We start from the raw sequence: 20,013 nt of genomic DNA, 5'->3' as shown, positions 1-20,013 counted from the left end.
GGCTCCATCCTTCAAGACCACACTTGGGGTTTGTCAAGGGTAAAGTAGGTTTATCATCTTAAAGCTCTGCTTTGTGCTAAGGCTAGAAAAAAACCCGATTGCTCACCTCAGAGCTTACAGGTGAAGAAATCACCATTTGCCTATTCACGCGGGGCCAGGGAGATGGTGGAGACACCCACAGTTGAGGGGCTGTGAAAAGAGAGGCTAACTCTAGCTCAGTAAGTTTTTAGCCAAGTGACCTTGGGCAAAGTCCCTAATCTCCCAGAGCTCCAGTTTCTTCACCTGTAAAATAGGTGTGATAATAGCTTCTGGCAGGATTTATGAGTTTACATGGCTGCCACAGCATGGTACCCTGAACTGAGTGACGTCAACGACAGAAACGTATTGTTCTGCAGACCCAGAGTCCAAGATCAAGGTGCAGGCAGGGTCGGTTCCTTTTGGTCCTGGGAGGGAGACTGTTCCAGGTCTGCCCCAGCTCCTGGTGTTTTGCTGGCTGTCTCTTCCTGATTTCTGCCCATGTGGCTGTGCTCCTGGGGGATAAGACAGAGTGTCACAAAGTGGCCTGTGCTAGGCCAAGATGTTGGCTCCGTTGAGACAGAACCATGTCCTGTGTGCTCAAGCACAATCTATATTCCAGACCTCTGGGGAAAGGTGGGGAAAGAGATGGGTGAATGCTCTGGTTTCTCTCTTTAGTTGACGCTAGGGTAAGGGCCATACCCTCTGTTTGGGCCAGATTGGGCTGCTGGGCTGGGAGTCAGCTCTAAGAGCCACAGTGTGGGCCTTTCCCAGATCCCTCGTGGAATGGGGTGAGCAAGCTGCTAAGCTGCTGAGCACAGTGCTGCCAGCTCTGCGCTCCACCAAGCTCATTTTTATCCATTTCATTTTTACTTGGCAAATAATAATTGTCTGTATTTATGGGGTGCAATGTGATGTTTTGATACATGTTTACATTGTGAAATGATTAAATCAAGCTAATTAACAAATCCATCACTTCACAAATTTATTTTTTATACAGAATGGGGACTATAATAAATAAAAGATGCATTGCATATTTCGCAATTGCTAAAGCATAGTAGATTTTAAATGCCAGCTTCACTCTCTGTAGTCCGGTATAGACGTGGCCCCCCCCCATGCCCTTTCAGTAACAAAAACATACACACACATGCATGGATATGGAGCTCTTTAGACACATGACCGGATACTTGAAGGGCTGCTACTCTTTGGGACAATGTTGGCTGTTTACTGAGCTGTGAGTGAAGATGCTTACAAGATGATCAATGTGCTGAAGAAATTCCACTTTGCACTGGGGTGTAGCAGGCCAGCCCAGCCAAGTGCAAAGAGCTGATATCGTATTGGGAGCATGCTATGGTAATTGTGTGTGTGGTGGTAGGGGGCCTACTAAAGTTAGATGGGTAGAGCCATGGTGATACTTCATTTACCACCTCTGTAATCTAAGAACAGAAGCTATCACATGTCTATGACATGTCAGACACTGCTAGCATGTTCTTACAAGGGAGGTTATTATTCTCATTTCCAGAGAAGCATCCAGTCCTCAGGACTAAGTACTCTTAATGTCTGTTGGTTTATCTGTTCTTTGAATAGATCTTTTGTCCATGCATGATTTTACATTGTCATGTTAACTACCGGTTTACTGAGTTATGAAGATCTTCCAAATGTTGACACATTTCATTGTTCAATATCCAGAAGCCGCCATAATTAATATCAGCATCAATCTCTGTGGAAAAGTCTTGGAGTGCTCTCAGTCAAGTACAAGCTTCCCAAAATTCTAATTTTCACTTGAAATCTTAGATATTGTTGTTGACAATAAACGCTGTCAGTTGTTTGCCTTGAATGAACAGGCCTACTTTGTTTATTTTCAAGAGGATGTCTGCCAAATACCTAAGTCTGAAGAAATATAGTTTGTCAGTTGTCAAATAAAAATGATGATGCATGAAAAAAGTGGCTAGTTTAGCTTGTAACTCACATAAGTGCTTTTCCTGTAGTCAACTTCTCACTTCAGAGCATAGTAGAAGGGTGTGTGTGTCCTTCCCATCTCCTCACACAGAATATTAAAAATATGTCATCAAGTATAGAGACATAATGAAATTAATGCTTTTTCCTGCTTCATCAAGTGCATTCTTCAGTGAAACTGATGTGTGTGGCAGGGGAGATTGCAGTGACTGTTAATATGGTTTGGTGCCACTGCCCGTTTCCTTGATTTGTGCAGTTTCCTGCACTGTTGCTTTTGTACCATGTGTGCAAATGTCGACACAGGGGAAAAGCAATATGCTCCCATTGCTCTCTCTCTCTCTTTTTCTCTCTCTCTCCTTTCCTCTATCTGTCTGTCTGTGCCTCTGTCTTTTTATTTTTAGCCCATTCTTTCTCATTCTTTCAGCCTACACCTCTCTCTGTCTCTCCATTCCTTTGTGTCTCTCACTTTCTTGAACTGTCTCCCTCTGTGTTTCTCTTTTCCTGATCGTTGCCCCGCGTCTCCTCTACCTCCTCCTCCTGCCCTCTCTCCCGGTGCCTGGATGTGTGTGGGACCCTGTGTGGGTGTGCAGATGGCACGCACCATGGCGGGTTGGGGGGGGGGGGGCACTGGTATAAAAGATCTCCCCTACAAATGCAGAGCAGTACACAGCCCTCCGTCCAGAGAAATCCTTTTCCTTTAGAAACTCACCAGCCCAGGACCCCCTAGCATTCAGGAGCCACCTGGCGGGTGCTGTGAGTGCCAAGGGCCCTTCCTTGCCTACTCCCAGCCATACTATTCTGCTGTGTGTCTTTGAGCCATGGAAGAGGGAGAAATACCATCTCGCTCCTTCTCATTTTGAAGCAGCTTGGGTTTGGTGTTTGTGTTGAACAAATTAGTCTAAAGAGATTCTAATGTTTTTTATCTCAGATGTGCTTGTTGTGTAAATATTTTCATCCAAATCATCAGAATTGTTACAGTTTGGTTTGGATGCAGTGGCTCATGCCTGTAATTCCAGCACTTTGGGAGGCCGAGGCAGGCAGATCACCTGAGGTCAGGAGTTTGAGACCAGCCTGGCCAACATGGTGAAACCCTGTCTCTACTAAAAATACAAAAATTAGCCAAGCGTGATGGTGGGCGCCTGTAATCCTAGCTACTCAGGAGGCTGAGGCAGGAGACTCGGTTGAGCCTGGGAGGCAGAGGTTGCAGTGAGCTGAAATTGTGCCATTGCACTTCAGCCTGGGCGACCAGGGTGAAACTCTATCTCAAAAAAAAGAAAAAAAAAAGAATTATTACAGTTTGTCTCAGAGATGTTTTGCAGGACAACCCGTGTAGATGGACACCTGCACCCTCCTGGCACCCTCTGAAAGAGCCCTGCCCCTCCCTCTGCCCTGTCCAATCTTCCTTCCCTTTTCCCACTTGCCCAACCCCAGTTGATGTCTGTTAAGATGCAGCCCTGGCTATTTTTGGAGGAAAGGCAAAGAACATTTATCAAACTCTTTACATGTGCCAGACATGGTCCCAGAGCTTTAGATACATTTTTTCATTGAGAGGTTATAGCACCCCTCCACACCAAGAGGTGTGGTATTATTTTATCTTTCCCATTTTACAGATGAGCAAACTGAGACTTGAGGAGTGGATAGTGACTTGTTGACCAGTGGCCTGGCTGCATGATCCAGGCACAGTTGGATCTAGGCCTGGCTGCATGACCGCAGGCACAGCTGTTGGAGGTTGAAGCAGCTGGCAGCAGACAGGCCAGAGGGTATTTGTGTGTGTGTGCGCAGGTGCACACATATGTGGATGTGCACTCCTGTGTATACACGCATGGGGCAGGGCTGGGGTTGGAGGTGCTGCAGGAACAGGTGTTGGGGCTGAGTGTGGAGCTCTCGGGAGGTGGCACTGAGGAGTCGGGCAGTTGTCCTGCACGTGGCAATTTTCTGTAGGAAAGTGTGTGGTCAGGAATGTATTCTGGAAGCCTTTCCTGGAGAGGAGTTTGGAGGATGGCTTTTGGGATGGAGGAGTAGAGGGGTGGACCAGAGGAAGGATCCCAGGTAGGAGGCCATTGCAAAAAGCAGGAGAAAGCTGATGACGACTGGTGGTGGCAGGTGGTCTTCCTGGGGCCCGTATACCTGAGCTGAAGGGGGCAGGCTCTCCAGGGCCAGGCAATGGACTGGTTGTGGGGGCTGAGGGTGAGGGGGAGGTGGCATGGTACCCAGGCTTCTGGTGAGGATGCTGTGTGTGCATTGAGACGCCTCCCCAGGAAAGAAGGCACAGAATGGGGGAGAAGGGGTGGGTCTAGGGGCAAATGGGCTTTGAATCCAGGCCTTTAAGATACCAAAGCCCCAATTCTCTTTTCTGCTGTCCCAAAGCTAGTGGACTGGAAGTGAACACCCCCTCCCTGGGGGTATTCAAGCCTAGTCAGATGGCCTGAAGTTGATCACAGGTCCCTAGAACCCAGGATGTGGGTGGGAAATGGAAGACCGCCTGTGTGCGGGCTCACATCTGCCTGCACTCTTGGAGTCTGTTTGTCCTGTGGAAGTCACTTTGGAGCCAGGGAGCTGCTTTTTAGCTCCTTGTCACCACCGCCTGATGCATCTCATTAGTCCTGCCCTCCAGCTGACAAGCATCAGCCCCTCTGACTACAAGATGGCTTCACCTAAGTGCTTCCCTCTGGCAAAGCTAAATATTAATTATCTCTCTTTATTTCAAGATTATTTATGGGTGCTAATGTCACCCATCATGGAGTGGGAAGTTGGTGCCAGGAGACATGAAGCAGTGCTAAGTCAGAGGGAGCTGCAGAATGTCCCTGACATTGGAGAGGTGGCTGCTGCCTGGGTAGCCCGGCCTGCTTGTTATTGGGGGTGCCTCTGAGTGATGGCCCAGGTGGCTGTCATCCCAGGTGAAACTGCAGGATCGGAGGGAACAGAAATAGTTTGCTCAACCTGGGTGCTCAAGTGAGAGCCAGTCCCGTGGAACCAGAGCTGATCATTTGTGCAAGGCTCAGCTGAGAATGTGTCTGTACGTTTCAGGTTTTGGCAGGTGAATACACATCGAGTGGACCGAGGATGTGCCGGAAACATGCTGGCCCTGGAGCGAGAAGGGCTCAGAAGACAGGGCCCTGTGTGTGGGTGGGTGGAGGTTTAAAACTGGACACAAGTCTGTATCATAGAACTGCCCCTGTGGGTGTGTTGTATTTGTGCGTGTTTGTGTGTACCTGTGTGTGTGTGTGTGTGTGTGTGTGTGTGTGTATGAGCATGGGTGTGGGGGACATTTTGCCCATTAGAGGGGATCCCTGGACTGATGGAAAGTAAGAGGAATAATGTCCTTTGATGAAAGGTCCGTCTCCTTGTGTGACCCATGTCCTTGGTGCACAGATGCTCACCGAATCTCCACTCTTGGATGGAGATGCGTGCTGGGGAGGCTTCTGCTTGCTGCTGTGTGGACTCTGGTAGATGCTGTCCCTCCAAAGGGCAATCTCTGATGGAAGGTGGAGGAGCAGGAGAAGGTCAGTGTGAAGCCTGGAGCTTCCAAAAGGGTAGGCAGAGAGGATAGCCTGTCATGCTGATTACTTCCAAGTAATGTAGCAGATCTGTAATTATAATATGAGGTCATCTTAATTTGAATGATGTAAAATAATGTCTAATTAGACACCATCTCATCTTTTAGAGACTTGCCATAGTTCAAATGGAAAACCTTTCAACTTCTTGGTGGTGAGCTTTGAAAATCTCATCCTCTCTCAAGTCTCTCTCTCCCCTTGCCAGCCCTGTAGTCACTGGCCTCCAGCGGCTTGCAGCCTGTGTACTGGCACTCCTTGGCTCGTCTGCCAGGCAGAGGGAGAGGCAGGGCTGGAGGTGGCCTCTGGAGGAGCCAGCAGGGATTTGGAGGCGGCCAGACTCCCCCCTTCTCTCAGGGAAACTCCTTTTCCTGGGAAAAAGTGTTATAGAGGATGGAAGACTCACATTAGGAACCAAGACACCTGGGCTTCAACCCGGGACAGCCTCCAAACCACAGACCCTCCTGTGAACACCCCGCCTCTCTGACCCTCGGACTCTTCATCTGTGACTTGGAACACAGGTGGTGCTAGTCTGCGAGAGGAGGTGAAGGAGGAAGGCTGGAATGGAGCAATGTTTCTTAACATTTTTGGAAGCCTCATTGCTCTTCAAGTTGGGCTGAAGGGTTTCGCTGCCAAAATCAAGTCATGACATTTCCCCCTGGCTTGTAGGAACAAGGACATCAAAAGCTACCAATGGCAAATGTCTCCATGTTCTCCACTTGCCATCTCGGGGGCCTGCAGCACACTCGGACCTTGCCAGGCTTCTCTGAGCACCCTGGGAGTCAGTCCACCCTGCTTGCCCCTTGTCACCTCCTGCCCAGATTGTACCGTTGGACTTTTCCACAAGTGGCCTCTGGCTGAGAGGATCTCAGCATCTCTGCTGGCCCTGCTCTTTCAGTCTGGCCTCTCCCCAAGTGTGACTGAGCCCCTCCCTGCGTCCCCAGGCAGCCATCTTCAACAGCTTTACTGAGGAGGATTACATCCCCTCCTGGAGCCTGCCTGCTGTGCCAACCTTTTAGAGGGTGCTGGTGGGGGTGTTTCCTCACTGCCTTGGGGGTGGGGAGCAGGGCCTGCTCTTCTGTTCCCTCCCCACCTTGTCTTCACTCCTGTCCCCTGTCTTGCCTTTTACATGTGAAGCAGAGCACCTAAAACCTCACACTGAGAAATCTGCATTTAGGGCAGTTCACCTTTTAGTGCTTCCCCCATATAACGGGAAATACTCAAATACTCCGGCCCACATCTGCATGAATTAAAAGGCTCATCTAAGAGAAAGTCTTTCCAGAGGACAGAGTTCTCTCTCAGAATGCAAAAAGTGGGTACATTTACCAAAAACAGGCTAATTGGTGATGCAAGTTGGCTAGGTCTCCCTCTGGAATAGAACGTTCTCCATTTTAAGTTTCTCTTTCATAAGTGTGTCAATTAAAAATTTAAAATCGTGTTAAAACACACGTAACATAAAAATGACCATCTTAACCATTTGTAAGTGTGCTGTTCAGAGGCATTAAGTTTCTCTTCTATAATTTTTAATACCTTGGGACTTGTTACCACCTGACGGACTGCTTTATTCTATGAGATCCTATTTTAAGTTGAATGTCTGTGCTTCTGGGTGTCCCACAGAGAGCACTGCTGCTCCTGGTGTGGGCGGTGGTGGTGGTGGTGGGGGGGTCATCTTGGAGACACTTCTGGAGCCCTTTGCAGCTGCCTCTTTGGGTTCTTCCCTGGTTTGATGTCGGCACAACATCCTCCACTTATTAGCCCTGTGACTTCAGACAAGTGTGTCAGTTTCCTTATCTGTAATATACAAACATTGAGCCTCTCCTGGGGGAGAGGAGACAAGGACCAGATAGATAATTATGTCCCGAGAGTAGCCAGCGTGCCCTGGCCCCAGGAAATGGCTTCTTGCTGTGACTGCCTGGGGTGGTCACAGCAGCTGCCTTAGCCAAGCAGGAAGTGGAGCGCAGGCCAGATCCTGTTAGAGCAGGTTGAAAACATGGAAGTGAGTCCAGCAAGGGAAACTGTGAAAACTAGCCAGGCCTGAAGCTGATCGCTGACCTCCTCCGTGGTAAAATCGATACGGACTATCCACTTCCCCTTTGTGCCTTGGCTTCGTAGGAAAGTCCCTGCAGGTGTGAGCTGAGAAGCACAAAGAAGGCTGGGAGATAGCAGCCCTGGAAAAATAATTCCACCTGTAAACACCTGTGTTAACAAGTGCTGTATTTGTGCAGCTATTTTCTTTTTCAAATACTGTTGACACACACCTATTCTCTTACCCTGCTCAGGTGTGTGTTGCATGGCATCTGGAGACCTGCTGGCCAGGGGCCAGCCTGCCTGTCTGAAATGCTTCCCTTCTCTGCCCAGCAACGTGGGGCGTGGGAGGCCACGGCTCTCTGCGGCTTGGCTGTAGCTTTAGCGCTGTTGGGCTGACGGCCTGGAGTTCAGCCAAGTCCCAATGAGCATGAGGTCTGAGACCTCAGTGAGACAGGAAGGACCAGCCTGGGGCCCCTTAGGGGACAGTGACCCCAGCTGGATGAAAGAGGACACCTGCTCTTTTCCTGGCTGGTTAGGGTCACTTTGCATTTTAACACCCAAGGGAAATTTGAACCCTTCCACCACCTGATCCCGCCAGCAGCGGCTGACCCAGGACAGGGGAGTGAGAGATGTCCAGGTTCCAACAAGGAGCCCTTCAGAGGTAATGCGGGGAGGGGCGGCAGTCCGTTCCATGCAGCTCTCCTGCAGCCTGAAGAGTTCCAGCATCCTTTCCCAGCTCCATCTTACTCCATGGAAGCCCTGTGCAATTAACTCCTGTCCTACCCTGGCCACTGGTTTCAACCCTAATGCACGGTAGAATCACCAGGGGATCTTGTCAAGGTCCTGATGCTCAGGCCGCAGGCCTAGGGATGCTTGTTCACTTCATCCCAGGCAGGGCCTTTGAAAAGTTTTGAAAATCTCCCCAACCAGTCTCATGGGTGGTCAGTTGGGAACGACTCCCCTAGCAAGATAGTGGGACATCTCATCTCGGTGTATTTATAAACTAGCAACCTTTGGTTTCGAACGGCTGTGCATTTACAGAAGCATTGCAAAGATAACGCAGAGGATTCCTGGACACACCTCACTGGTTTCCCCATTGTGACAGCTTGCATCTCCCTAGCACGTTCCTCACCACTAAGGAACTAACATTGGTTGGTTCTTTCAGCTAAGCGCCACGGTTTATGTGGATTGCACTAGTTTTTCCCTAAGGCCTTTTTCTGTCCCAAGATTCCCCTCTAGGATCCCACATTGCATTTGGTTGTCACATCTTGGTGGCCTCCTCTGGTCTATGACAGTTTCTCAGACTTTCCTTGTTTTGGATGACCTTGACAGCTGTCGTGAGGATTGGCCAGGTATTTTTGTAGAATGCCCTTCAGTTTGGGCTATCTGATATTTTTCTTATGGTTAGACCGCGGTTACGGGTTCTCGGGAGAAGCCCACAGAGGTGAAGTGCCATTTTTATCGTATGCAATCAAGGGTGCGTGCCTATCAACAGGACTGATCGCAGCCAATGACCTTGAGCTTCTGGCTGAGCTGTGTTTGTTGGGTTTCTCCCAGCAAAGTTCTCTCCTCCCCCACTCCTTTCTCAGACCTGCCCTTGGGAAGCAAGTCACCAAACACAGCCCACACCTGAGGGCAGGGAAAGTCATGCTCCACCTCTTCGAGAGGTGGGTAACTACATAAATTATTTGGAATTCTTCTTTAAGGGTGGATTGTCTCTTCTTCCTGTTATTTGTTCAATCATTTATTTATATCGATGTTGGCTCATAGGTACTTATTGTATTCTCTGGGTTATAATCCAATAGTAGTTTGTTGCTCATACTCTTCCAACTTTGGCCATTGGGAGCTTTTTCGGGATCTGGGTGCCCCCCCTCCTTTTTTTTTTTTTTTTTGAGACAGAGTCTTACTCTTGTGGCCCAGGTTGGAGTATAATGGTGAGATCATAGCTCACTGCAGCCTCCTCGAATTCCCAGGCTCAAGTGGTCCTCCCACCTCAGCATCCCTAGTAGGTGGGACTATAGGCATGTGCTACCATGCTTGCCTGATTTTTTTGATTTTATGTAGAGGAGAAGTCTCACTATGTTGCCCAGGCTGGTCTTGAACTCCTGAGCTCAAGTGATTTTCCTGCCTCAGCCTCCCAAAGTGCTGGGATTCCACGGGGCGTGAGCCTCATGCTTGGCCCCATTGTCCCTTTGATGTGCTCCCATCCATTGTTTTGTGAGCACTTCCTTGCTTAAGGAGATGGCTGAACACCTGCAAGATTCTGTTTTAGACACTATTTTCGCATTTTCATTGCTTAATAATAACCCTCCCTTTGGTGAATGCATACACTCTCTTCCTCTCTTACCCACAGTTTTCATTCTTGTCCTAGGAGTGGTGTCATGGGGATGTAAGCCTCCTTAGTAAAGCTGGGGCAGATGGAGTCCTGGATGGAGGGTTGTCTGGCTGGTTTGTACCCAAGCTCTGCTCCTCACCAGCTGTGTGATCTGGAGCTAGTTCCTTGACCTCTATCAACCTCCAATTTCTGATCAATGAAAAGGGAGCGATGCTACATATCTCAAAGGAGAGTTGGGAGCATAGGAGGAGGTGCTCAATGAAGGTGGCTTTAGTGTTTGTGTCCCTGGCCCTGTCACAAAGCAACTGGGTGACTTTTTTGACCTCTTTGGACCTCAGTTTTCTTATCTGTAAAATCAGAGGACTGGACCAGGTGGTCTCAGAGGACGCTGCCTTCTGGATGTTCCCTAAGACCTGGGTGTAGCTGGCTGGTGGGGATGAGTGAAGAGGAGTGAGCTGGAGGGGGAACTGCAGGCTGTGGCCTGGATGCAAGCAGCCTTGCGAATCTGCCAGCCAGAGAAGATGGCTTTTTGCCCTAGAAGACAGGATTTTACCCTGAAAATGTCACCTGCACATCTGTGCTGACAGCATTCCCCTGCGTGTTTCAGCTCTTAGCATGCCCTGGCTGGCTGGGCACAGGCTGGTGAGCATAAACCAGTCAGATCTGATGGAATGTTCCATGCATCTGCTTTCGCTGGTACATAAATCTGCATGCCTGTTTTGCGTGTTCTTAGATATCTGACCTCCATCTTGGTGTGTCCCTCTACCCAGCAATGGCATTTGTCAGCTTCTGGTGGCAAATGGGATTTTGGTTGGGCTGTGAGGTTGGGTTTCTGGTGTGAATTTCTGGGGTGGGTTGCAGGTGCTGAAACCAGGGCCAGAGCCTGGTTATAGGTGGGGTGTGGCTGCTTGTTCTGTTTCCTGTGGGAGCTTGCCTGGCAGTCGGCCTGATGTGGGCCTGTTCATCTGAACAGGAAGGGGCAGGTTCTGGAAAGGGGTGGATGGTGCAGGGCTGGGGAGCAGACCCAGGTGCTGGGGTGAGGTTGGGTGACAGCAGTGGGCTGCAGGGAGAGCCAGATGAGAGCAAGCCTTAGTTTCAGTCCCCGAGGAAGAAGCTCAAGGCCACTTACCCAAACTGAGATGTAGGTTAGGGGAACCCAAGGCTCTGGCCAAGGTAGTAGATGTCCTAGTGTTCAGGATGGGCAGCAGAGTGAGTAGAGAAAAAGGGGAATCAAGATGTGAGCCCTTGGCAATGGTGGGCCCAGGAGACCCAAGGAGGGTTCAGTGTGCCCAGTCCGTGGAGTGAGCAGGGGACAAAGACAGGGGCCAGGGGCGAGGTCTCTGGCCTGCCTCTTCCACAAATTACTGTACAGAGAGAAACAAGTGCACTAAGTTGTAGATACAGAGATGCTTCTTGTGGCCTTCGTTTTAGTAGGATAAAATTGGAAGCAACCAATAAAAATGTGCATTGGTAGGATGTCAGCTTTATTTATAATGTGTTCTGTGCAGCAGAAAACTGAAGCAGCTGAGAATGAGCTAGGCCTACGTGAATGGGTATGGGAAACATTGCAAAGGTGCATGCTGAGTGAAGAAAGCAAAGTGCAGGGCACTGTCCAGTCTGCACCCATTTGAAGAAAATTAAATTCACTAATGATGCTTCTATATTGTATCAATTAGGATGGGTTCTTCTATAAGTAACTGAAAACCTGACCAGCACTGGTTAAAACATTGAGCTTTATTTTTCTCATGGAACACCATGTATGGAGGTTAGCAGCCGGGGGTATGTGTTCATCCACTGAACAATGTCTTTAGAGATCTGGGTTCTTTCTCTTCTGCTGTGCCTTCATAAAATGTGTTGGCTTTTTATCCCGACACTCTTTACCCCATGGTCCCAAGATGGCTGCTGCAGCTCCAAATATCACACCCAAGCATGAGAAAAGAGGAAGGGGCTGGCCAATGCCAGGCACATTGTTTTTTCTTTTTAAATCTGGAAAGTAAGAGCTTCCTGGATGCCACCTGGCCCCTTGTCTCCCTGCCACAGGCTAACTCACCTGTGCATCTCATTGCCAGGATAGGGTCACGTACCCATCTCCTGCTGCAAGGAAGGCTGAAAAAGCAAAGATCTGGCTTTCTAAACATAATAGCAAGGAGGGAGAGTCTGAAAAATCTGTTAAATTAGCAGCTGTTGGTCCTGTGCATGTAATGGCCCCTCCTGTGCATGTGATGACTTGTTGGGAAGGGAACCTATAGGACTCTTGAAAGTGATTACCTCTGGGGCGTAGGGTATTGGATCTGACAACAGAACGTGGCTTCCTGTTTAATTATATATCTTTTTGTGCTCCGGCTTTTTTTTTTTAATCATGTATATATGACTTTCAATGAAAAAATTTATTTAAAAGTCTACTAAAGCATAATGAAATGAAAGCTGTGAAATATGCCAGACTGAGAGTTGATTCAGGAGACAGTGTCTAGGGCAAGCCCTGAGCTTCCTGTTTGCAGAGAGCAAGGCCACCTGTGGGGCTCCCCTGGCCCAGTCCATGGGCACATGGGCTGCAAGCCTGGGCAGTCTGGGCTGATGATGGGGTGGGGGAGGGAGACCCCGTCTCTGCTCCCTGGGTTTGCCCTAGAGTCTGGGCTAGGGCTGAGGGTAGGGGTGGGGCTTGCAGGGGCCCAGGGCCAGCCAGTCATAGGGAGAGGAGGATGTGGGGGAGGGAGCTGGGAAAAGCCTAGTTCCCCCATTTTGCAAGCACGTTCTTAGTGTTTGTGATTTTCTTGCTGCCTCATCTTTCAGAGGTTGACACTAACTCCTCAGGAAAATCCCTGCCTCTTCTACTATCGAGACTGATGTATGTTTCTGATTCTGCTAACCAACTGGACACGTGTTTTTGATGATACAACATGAAGCAGAAATGGGAAGATGATCTGAAATTACTTCTTAAATCAGATGACTGGGATGAATTCGGAAGAGAGCCAAGGAACATGGGATTTTGCTTTTCCTAAGAGTGATCTCACTTATGGTGGTTGAGGGGGTGATCTGTACCCCTGCACATGTGGATGGAGTCTAAAGAGGAGCAGAGGACAATTGTCCCAGCTAATACCACCCCAAGTCTTTCTCCATTAGTGAGTGACCTGTAATGACCCTGCAGGAGGGGACATGTCGTGGCTGGACTCAAAGCTGTGTTCTGCTGACCAGGCATGGAAGACCCTGGCCTTGCCCTGGTTTTAAAATAGAGCTATAAGAGTTTACAAAGGGAGAATGATACTCCAGCTTTTTATCAGTCTACAGGGGGTTCTGTCCACTCAAAGTCTTGGATGGGGCATACTTTAGTGTGAGCCTCTAAAATTTTCCTTATAGGGGATCAAACTGTATCAGTGTATATTTTATTTGTCTTGTGTGCGTAAGAGAAAGCCCAGCATAGTGTAAGTTCAGATGCTTCTTAATAGAAAGGCCCAAGGAAGGTGGAGCTTCAGTATTTTACTGACAATGTATTGGAGATGATTGTAGGGTCCAGGAAGGACTTTACAGAGACTCATAGATTTTTCGGGCAGCCATTCCTTAAATTCACAAAGCATGAAAATTGCCTAGATCTGGGAACCTAAGAATAGATGTATTAGACCTCTTTGCAGGAAACAGAAACCACTCTAGGTGTGTTAAACAGAAAAGGCTTTAATACAGGGAATGGAAGACCTAAAGAAACAGGCTTTAAACTGGGCTTCTGGAATCATTCCTGTAAGAATATAGAACTGGACATTGGGAGAGCTGTAACCTCTGAGGCTGCTCCTAGGGCTGACCTGAAAGCAAGAAGCTGCTGCTGCGTCTGCTTCTGATGGAAAAGGAGCACTCAAAACTGCCATCTGGGGATTAGGAAGCCAGACCAAGACACCCAGGAACTGGAGGATGGACCCTGGGCTGTCATTGCTGGAAAGCCCTATGTCTCTGTGCCTACGCTGTGGCAGCAGCGGTCAGGTACTGCAGGAAGAGGGCACCCACCTCACTACTGCCTTTTAAAGGTATCTGTTTGGTGCAGGCTAACTTTTATCCAGACCCCTGGATGCACGGAAGCTTTGAAAATGCCTTCTAACTCTTCCATCTGACAGAGGAGAGGGCAAATGGGCCTTTCCAGAGAGCCCAGCAGAGGAGGTGACACCAACAGGTGCTGGATGGCTAAAGTCAATTTGTGCAAAATTAATTCTTCAAGAAATGTTTGAGTCAGAAACACATCACACTTCGGGTGGGTAAATTGTGGAAAGCAGCCATTTCTCCCAGTTTCAACGTGTGACACTAGCTCCTTCTGTTTCAGCTCTATGGTACTTTGGTTTGCGGCCTAGAACAAGCCTCAGTTGCCACAGTTGTGAAAGGAGACGTGACAAGCTTGAAGGGGTGATTTCTCTTTTAGCTCACAGTTTGGTCTTGAGCTGGGCATGTCTTATAAGCACTTCTGTGAAAAGCAATTCTTTGTTCTTGGGTTTGCCAAATTTTAGGCACACTTCACTGGGTGATTTTCTAAGAGCTCGTGGAGATCAAAGTGAATTAGGAGGAAGAAAAACTTGTGGAAAGGTTGGGGAAGCACTAGAACAGTGGGCTATTGCACAAACAGCAGTGTCTGGTATGAGGCTGGCATCATAGTTTCCAGGCTCTGTTCTGTTTGCTATCTCCAGCAAGCCTCCTTTTGCAGATGAGAAAACTGAGGTCGGGCAGCTTTGTGACTTTGGGGATGATGTTTTAGAGACCCCATGACAATGGTAGGGCTGGGATACAGACGCATGTGTCCCAGTGCTCTGGCCCCATGACGTGTGAACTCCACCCACCATCATAAAGGGCACTGTCTATTTGGAAGTCCCCCGGTCCCTAGCTGGGCTCCTGGGATGAAGAGGAGGATAGGGAGGGACATGGCGGGTGTAAGCTAGGGTCCTGTTCTGCCTGCTACCCTGGGCTGCAGGGAAATGCTGGTAAATGTTTAACAACTGACACCCTTCCCCACCAAAAATAAAAAGCCCCAAGTTATAGCATTTTCCCACGTCTGTGGTGTTAATTCTCTCCCATCCCGATTCTGAACTACCAATGAGAGACTGATAAGTGCACATCTGGAAAGAGATGCTCCCACTCAGCAATAATGATGCTGTGGGGTGGGCACCCTGATGTTGGTGTTCTGCTACTACACCTGTTGGCCAAACCCCCCAATGTTTGTGAGAGAGCTAGGGCAGAGTGGCTGATGGCTGGAGGATTACGGAGACTAAGGGGACACAGGCTGCTTGGTGAGGGGGCTGCCCCGAAGGCAGTGATGTCACTCTGAGGCAGGAGAGGGCTGAGGCTGCATGTGCTGACCGGTCCCCCGAGGAAGGGCTTTAGAGGCTATCCTGGCAAGGAGCGCTAACGACCTCCCACCCATTGCCAGGGACCTCAGTGACCTGTCCATTGTCACACAGCTAGCAGCCGCCGCATTCTGAGCCTCCAGGTTCCGAGCTTGTGAACCAGCTCTCGTTCGCTCAGAGGCCTCAAGGGCGGGATGCCTGGCAGCTCCCTTCCTACCATGGGCCAGAGGCGGAGAAACAGGTGCTGACTGGAGCTGGGAAATGACTCCTCCCTCGGCCCGGATGGAGTGCTTCCCACTCCCGCACCCCACTGGAATCCCACCCCCCTCCCTGAGACCCAGGAAGTTGCTGGAAGAAAGGAGGAGAGGACAGGATGTCCAGGCAGGTGCAGGGATGTCAGGGGATGCCCCTGGAGTGTTGCAATAGCCTCCTGGGAGTACTTTCTAAAAGCATGGCTGAGCCAGGCCGGCATGGGCTTGTGGGAGTAGGTGATTCCGGGTCTCCTGCCTCCAGGGCCTGTCATGAGGACTCCACAGAAAGTGACTCCACAACAGTGGGACTCAATGAGCACCTTTGGGAACTTATCCCCACCTCACCTTTAACATTAAAAAAAAAAATCACATCAAAACAGAGTGGCAAACTGGTAAAAAGTACAGATACTGGAGCCCCACTGCCTGCACCCAGGCTGCAGGAATTTCTAGCAGTGTGATACTCAGGACACTAGGCAACTTGCTTCTCTCCCCCACCTCAGTTTCCCCATCTGTAAGATGCTGATGATGGCGGCTGACAGTGCCCATCTTGTAAGGTTGCCACGAGGATCAAATAATTTTATATATATATATATATATATATATTTTTTTTTTTAGACCGAGTCTTGCTCTGTCACCCAGGCTGGAGTACTGGGGCATGATCTCAGCTCACTGCAACCTCCACTTCCCAGGTTCAGGTGATCCTCCTGCCTCAGCTCCCCCAAATAGCTGGGATTACAGGCATGTGCCACCACACACAGCTAATTTTTGTATTTTTGTAGAGATGGGGTTTCACCCTGTTGCCCAGGCTGGTCTCGAACTCCTGAGCTCAAGTGATCCACCTGCCTCGGCCTCCCAAGTGCTAGGATTATAGGACTGAGCTACCGCGCCTTGCGATTATAGATACTCTTAATCACACATGCTGGGAACAGTCCCTAGCAGGTGTGGAAATCAATAAATATAAGCTACTAGAGTATTATCTGTATTAAAGTGGGTGGTCTCTGAATACGGGTGCTCCTTCAAGCCTTTTGCGGGGTGGCTTGTTTGGAGGGAGGCTTTACTTGCCGTTCTGCCTCCCAGCCAAGCTGCTCCGTGTTGGACCTGTGCAGGCAACGAGGGGCTGAAATGGTGCTTAATGGCAGCATGGCGTGTCCTTTACTCCAGGCTGTACGCGGGCAGCTCCGAGATCTCCATTTCTGAGCCTCTTGCTCCACTGTAGACTTGGGAACTACTGCTTCTGCTCCCCCAGGTGCATCACCGTCTACGGGAGGAGGATGCTGAGGGGCAGTAGGACTTGGACCTGCCTTGGTGTGACTGGCCTTGGAATTCCAGATGTGCCACTTCCAAGCTCTGTGACACAGAGCAGGTTACTTCACCTCTCTGAGCCTTGGTCGTTATTGTTGATTGCTCAATGAGCATTTATTGAGCACCTCCTTTGTGTGGAGTTCTATTTTAGGTGTGAGAATTAATAGATTCACATAGCCACTAGTCACTGTTACTTAGACATGGCTCTGGGCCTGAGAGAACGTGAAATCTATTAGGGAAAAGATCACTAAATTGATGATGGTCAAGCGTGCACAAGAGTGGGAAAAGGTCCTGGAAGGCTCTCCAAAGGACGGGCTGCATTTCAGGGAGAGATGGGAAGCAGCCTGCGGGATCGGGGTACCCTGGAAGGGTGTGTGAGGGGTGGAGGGTGAAGGTGAGGAGGCAGGTGGCACAGCTGTAAAAATGACACAGTGTGAATGCGTGGGGCTCAGGGCAGGCACGCCAGCTCCCAAAGTGTAGGGCCATGCACTATGTTATGTGGTTTAAGCAGATAACTCATTTCATCCTCATAAATCCTCTGAACTAGTCACAGTATTTGTAACTCAATGTTACAAATTACAAGTAATGATAAACCACAGCCTGCCCGAAGGTCACAGAGCCAGGACATGCAGCATGGGCAGTAGGTGGGCTCCACTCTGAGCCCTAGGCTTCACCACAAGGCTCTGCTGCCTCCTACTGTGTCTTCCTTTCTTCCTGCCATGTTGGAGGAACTCAACTGGGAACCACTAGCCGCAGTCCTGAATGGGCCCTTTCTTCCCATGAGGACACCTGGCTGGAGGTTGGGGCCCAGAGGAAGTGGAGCGACAGCAGGTGTAGAATGGTTTCTGTTTGCTTCTCAGTTCTGAAGTGTTTCCTCTGATAACATTCACAGACAGCAGCTCTGCTGGACAGTTACTGCCCACCTGGAGGGCTTGAGGTGCTCTGTGTGGGGAGGTGGAGGAGGGGAAGGGGAGGAGGAGGAGGAGGGGAAAGGGAGGAGCAGGAGGAAGAGGAGGGGGAGAAGGAGGAAGACCTTGAGGAGGAGGAAGATAGGGAAGAGGAAGGGAGGAAGGAGAGGGAGGAGGGGGAGGAGGGGGAGGAGGGTGGATAAAGAGGAGCAGGAGGCAGCCATGCCCAGTGCCTGAGCAGGACCTGAGTGTGCTGTTCCTGAAGGTATTAGGAACCTCGAGCTTTCTACACCCCAGCTTCCTTTGGGTTGAGGTGTTCCTGAGACATTCACAGTGTCAAGGGCAGCCCTCCTTCGTGACGCAGGGGACGAGATACCATCGGAACAGGAGTATATTTAGAAGACAGGAAACCAGCCCTCCAGCTTGCCCTTGATTTTACAGCCAGCGTTTTAGCCTTGTGAGCACCCCCGGAATTGACTGAGGCTGCAGGGCACTGTGAGAGGCCCTGCAGCCACCCATGTGGCCTCTTCCCCTTTTCTCCTCTCTGCCTCTTGGCCTCTCTGCTGTCTCTCTTTCTGTTTCTATGCTGTGCTGGCTTTGCTGGGGTTGTCCCAAAGTGATGGGGGAGAAATGACATTTTACTTGGAACTGAGTCATTTTGCTGGATTTTTTCAGCTGCGTTCCTGATTAGTAAACCTGTTTCAAGAATGGGAAAATGCACGGGGCTATTTTTAAGTGTTCTCAGCACCAGTGTCCCTAATTCCTAGAACAGACATCAATTGCTTTTCTAGTCTCAAATGCAGATAAACATGCGGCAGCGACATGACCTTTAGCAAAGTAGACTTGCCTACCAACAGTTTGCTCATCTGTAAAATGGGGCTCACACACCCTACCTCATGGGCAGAGGAAGAAATGAGACAATGAGCACCTGACCCCCCACACAGTGCATATTGCCTATGGGTGTTTAATGTGCTGAAGGTTCCTCTGGTGGTTTTTTTCTGGATGAAACTGTGCCAAGACCAGCCCCAGGGGAACTGGTGAATCCCCTGGTGTGCTAAATACAGGTGTGTTTCTTAGTTTAAAATCCGCCTTTGGTCGGCTACTGGAGGAATCATACTGAAACTTGTACTTAAATCATCAGCTGGGAGAAAAGTTGGTAACTCCTGCTCAGTAAATAAACATTTGCCAAGCCCTCCCGTGCTAGCTCTGCACAGACAGATGGAGAGGGAAAGGGAGGTCACACAGCTCTGCCTGAGAGCCTCCATGAAGGGAAGGAGGTGAGCACAGAAATGAGGACCAGGCAGTGAGAATTGTGGGATGGGGATGGGGTGCCTGGCTCTACTAGGGGAGTTTGGAAATGGCTTATCTGCAGGTCTCATTATCCATGGTTGAAAGCTAGAGGACACTCCAAAATGCAGCAGTAGTGGAAAGACTGGGGCACCATACGCTGTGAGGAATACGTGACCTTCCAAGAATGAAACACATTTATGTGGCTAATTTAAATGACAGCCGTGATCAATTTAGTGTCTGTTGAGTGCTAGACATCGTGCCCAGTGGTTTGCATGTACCTCCTCATGGGATCTTCACAGCAGCTCTGTGGGGCTGGTACTGTCCTCATCTCCAGATTACAGATGGGGCCAAGATACTTGCTCAAGGTTGGACAGTTAAGAGACAGCAGAGTGGGGTTTGAATGAGATCTGTGTGACTTGAAGTTGGCTCTGCCTGTGCTGGCACCTGGCTTCCCTGCTCAGAGGATGGGCTCACCCTTCTCCCCTGGCCCATGCCAGCAGTGAGGGAGGCATCCTAGGTTCCCTGGTCTCTCTTGCTACCATGTCCAAGCAATGTTGAGTCCGAGCTATCCCGCCTCCCTCAGCGCCATCCTAATTCTGCTTCTCATCCCCTCCCCGCTGCCCCACATGGGTCCCGCCTCACCCTCTGTCTCCTGGCCTCCTGCAGGAGCAACCTAGGTGGTCTCCTTCTGGCTGTTCCTCCTCAAACCCATGCCTTCGTGGCTGTCAGTGAGCCCTATAAAATGCAGTGGCACGTCCCTCTCCAGGGTACCCACCTTCAGGACCTCCCTACTCCCACACTCTTGGGACATGTCTGTCTCCACCTCAGCATCCCCAGTGGGCCCTGCCTGCCCCTCCAGCCTCCTCTGGAAGGATCCCGGCCCCCTGCTTCGTGCCCAGGACCGTGAAGCTGTTCAGGGTCTTGCTCAGGCCAGGCCAGCTCCCCTCTTCATGCTGTCCCCACCTCCAGCTCCTTCCTTTCCCTTTGCCTGGTGGCTCCTGCTGTGAGACTCAGCCCTGGCACATTTCTTCCAAGAAGCCCTTCCAGACGCTCTCCTCCCAAACT

General features: G+C 49.9%; 9 annotated features.

The window, feature by feature from the left end:
- Positions 6,921–8,642: a transcriptional cis regulatory region, noted in NCBI's record as "candidate enhancer chr2.183 targeted for multiplex CRISPR interference". NCBI's record gives its function as "positively regulates ID2 gene expression with high confidence in K562 cells {active_cell/tissue: K562}" and the evidence as "EXISTENCE:mutant phenotype evidence [ECO:0000015][PMID:30612741]".
- Positions 7,189–7,258: an enhancer, noted in NCBI's record as "active region_15264". NCBI's record gives its function as "activates an Ori minimal core promoter by ATAC-STARR-seq in GM12878 lymphoblastoid cells {active_cell/tissue: GM12878}" and the evidence as "EXISTENCE:reporter gene assay evidence [ECO:0000049][PMID:35858748]".
- Positions 7,269–7,328: an enhancer, noted in NCBI's record as "active region_15263". NCBI's record gives its function as "activates an Ori minimal core promoter by ATAC-STARR-seq in GM12878 lymphoblastoid cells {active_cell/tissue: GM12878}" and the evidence as "EXISTENCE:reporter gene assay evidence [ECO:0000049][PMID:35858748]".
- Positions 7,278–7,467: a silencer, noted in NCBI's record as "fragment chr2:8666335-8666524 (GRCh37/hg19 assembly coordinates)". NCBI's record gives its function as "represses an EF-1alpha promoter that drives an FKBP-Casp9 reporter gene in an ReSE screen in HepG2 liver carcinoma cells {active_cell/tissue: HepG2}" and the evidence as "EXISTENCE:reporter gene assay evidence [ECO:0000049][PMID:32094911]".
- Positions 8,209–8,318: an enhancer, noted in NCBI's record as "active region_15262". NCBI's record gives its function as "activates an Ori minimal core promoter by ATAC-STARR-seq in GM12878 lymphoblastoid cells {active_cell/tissue: GM12878}" and the evidence as "EXISTENCE:reporter gene assay evidence [ECO:0000049][PMID:35858748]".
- Positions 8,369–8,438: an enhancer, noted in NCBI's record as "active region_15261". NCBI's record gives its function as "activates an Ori minimal core promoter by ATAC-STARR-seq in GM12878 lymphoblastoid cells {active_cell/tissue: GM12878}" and the evidence as "EXISTENCE:reporter gene assay evidence [ECO:0000049][PMID:35858748]".
- Positions 12,568–12,627: a silencer, noted in NCBI's record as "silent region_11124". NCBI's record gives its function as "represses an Ori minimal core promoter by ATAC-STARR-seq in GM12878 lymphoblastoid cells {active_cell/tissue: GM12878}" and the evidence as "EXISTENCE:reporter gene assay evidence [ECO:0000049][PMID:35858748]".
- Positions 18,215–18,264: an enhancer, noted in NCBI's record as "active region_15260". NCBI's record gives its function as "activates an Ori minimal core promoter by ATAC-STARR-seq in GM12878 lymphoblastoid cells {active_cell/tissue: GM12878}" and the evidence as "EXISTENCE:reporter gene assay evidence [ECO:0000049][PMID:35858748]".
- Positions 18,465–18,574: an enhancer, noted in NCBI's record as "active region_15259". NCBI's record gives its function as "activates an Ori minimal core promoter by ATAC-STARR-seq in GM12878 lymphoblastoid cells {active_cell/tissue: GM12878}" and the evidence as "EXISTENCE:reporter gene assay evidence [ECO:0000049][PMID:35858748]".

The sequence above is a fragment of the Homo sapiens genome, chromosome 2, assembly GCF_000001405.40.
Source record: "Homo sapiens chromosome 2, GRCh38.p14 Primary Assembly".
Taxonomy (NCBI): Eukaryota; Metazoa; Chordata; class Mammalia; order Primates; family Hominidae; genus Homo; species Homo sapiens.
This window is presented reverse-complemented; position numbering and strand designations above follow the sequence as displayed.